At 42.1% G+C, this 1979-nt stretch overlaps 1 annotated feature.

Moving 5' to 3' along the window:
• Nucleotides 658–707: an enhancer, noted in NCBI's record as "active region_21980". NCBI's record gives its function as "activates an Ori minimal core promoter by ATAC-STARR-seq in GM12878 lymphoblastoid cells {active_cell/tissue: GM12878}" and the evidence as "EXISTENCE:reporter gene assay evidence [ECO:0000049][PMID:35858748]".

The raw sequence follows: 1979 nt of genomic DNA on the forward strand, positions 1-1979 counted from the left end.
AAAAGGGAAAATTTGAACACAAACACAGATATGTTGGGAGGGAGGACCATGTGAGGAAACATAGGGAGCAGTCCACATGAAGATTAGAGTGATGCAGCCACAAGCCAAGCAATGCCTGGGGATACCAGAGCTGGAAGGGGCAAAGAAGGATTCTTCCCCTGAAGGTTTCAGAGGGAACATGGTCTTGCCATCACCTTACCTTTGCACTTCTGGCTCACGGGACTGTGAAGCAATAAATTTCTGTTGTTCTAAGCCACCCAGTTTGTGATTGTGGTACTTTGTTACAGCAGCCCTGGGAAATGAGTACAGGGAGGGGACTACTCAGGGGGTCTCAGGTCCCAAGGCCTCACCTCAAGTATTCTAGATTGTATATGGTCACAAGGGTAACTACAAGCTGCACCTGCTGCTGGCCTGGGCTGCTCTTCCACTGAGTCAAGACAGGGTCAGGACATGAGTGAGTGAAACTGTGAGTAATAGACACTGGGGAATCCCGTGGGGTGTGCCTGACGAACACTGGGCTGGCCACTGAGAACTCTGAGTGCAGCATTGTGGCGAATGGTGCCTTTGGAGAGAGAGAAATCATTTCTTACCCTGCAAAGAGTTGGTTGTTGAGTGCGTGAGAAGTCAGAATTGTGAAGGAAAATACTCAAAATGGAAAGAGTCATCCATCATACACCACCCGGTTTCAGAAGCCAGAATCATAAAGGGAAACGCTGGGCAGTACGCTATTTCTGAGCAGCTTGGGGGATGTCAGAAGGAATTGCGGAATTCAAGTTTTAAAGGTTACTAGGCAGGGCAAGTTAACCAAGGACATGAGGAAAACTGAGGAGGAAAATGACCTGCTTCCATCCTCTGATCTTAATTAGCCATGAAGAGAAAATGCTTGAAAAATTTTTGCGTGACTCCCACCAACCTGGAACTCCTCGAAGCTCCTTGTGAATAGGGCTGTTTGTGTGGAGAACGACAGTCAGTTTAGAAAGCTGATGGACTCATCAAAATTTATGTGATTCGAATCCAAGATAAGAAAATGTCCATAGGCATGAGTCATTCTAATGAGCACAACTGGGAATTATGGACACACGTTTCTATGTAAGAAGCTTAGAATGCATCCCAAATTATGAGATATTAGAAGTAGAACCATTAAACCCAAATGATTTTGCTTACCTTTCACTGAGTGTAATCCAATCAACGTACTTCCTCCTGTTCTTTCAGTACCATCTCCAAGTATTACACAAAGATTTTCTTGTGGCTTTTGTTCTTGAATTCAATGCTTTCCATTGGTTTCAAGTGAATAATCGGGGCCTTATGGTAAAAGCAAAATAGACTTACTTCCAATCTTTTAAATTTAGCTAAAACTGAGAGGATTTTGTTTGGCTTCCACTATCCCTCCTTGATTCTATTCCTTTTAGGTTGACTTTTTTTAAATGCCACACAAACACACACACACACACACACACACACACACACACACACACACACACACACCAAAAAAATTGTAAGTAAGGAGAAACTAAACGTGAGTTAAACATGATCACATTTACTTTGGCCACTGTGTATATAGTTCTTCATCTTGACTTCATGACTTAAATACTAGAAAACTATGAAGCACTCTTACCATCAGGAAGGGAGAAATTATATAAAATTGGGGTCAGAGCAATGGCTTCTAATCCTACTCTGTGCAGAATTCAATTGTTAATAAAATGGATCTGATTCAAAAGCTCAGGGAGGCTAAACAGACCAGTCCATATTCCCCCATGTTGTCAATTGATTCAAATAATGATGGGACAATTCAAAGAGTGAGTTTTTCAAGTCTTCAAACAGGCACTTTCTTGAAGTCCAGCCAAAGTTTTTTGTATTTCAGCCTTGTATGTTATGCTGTAACATATGGCCATATTGAGGTACAGATTTCATCTCCACCAGCATCAGTGTGGTTGTCATTTACCTCGTTCTGTCTCTTGATGACCCTATTATTATCTCTG

This window comes from Homo sapiens, chromosome 4, assembly GCF_000001405.40.
Source record: "Homo sapiens chromosome 4, GRCh38.p14 Primary Assembly".
Classification (NCBI taxonomy): Eukaryota; Metazoa; Chordata; class Mammalia; order Primates; family Hominidae; genus Homo; species Homo sapiens.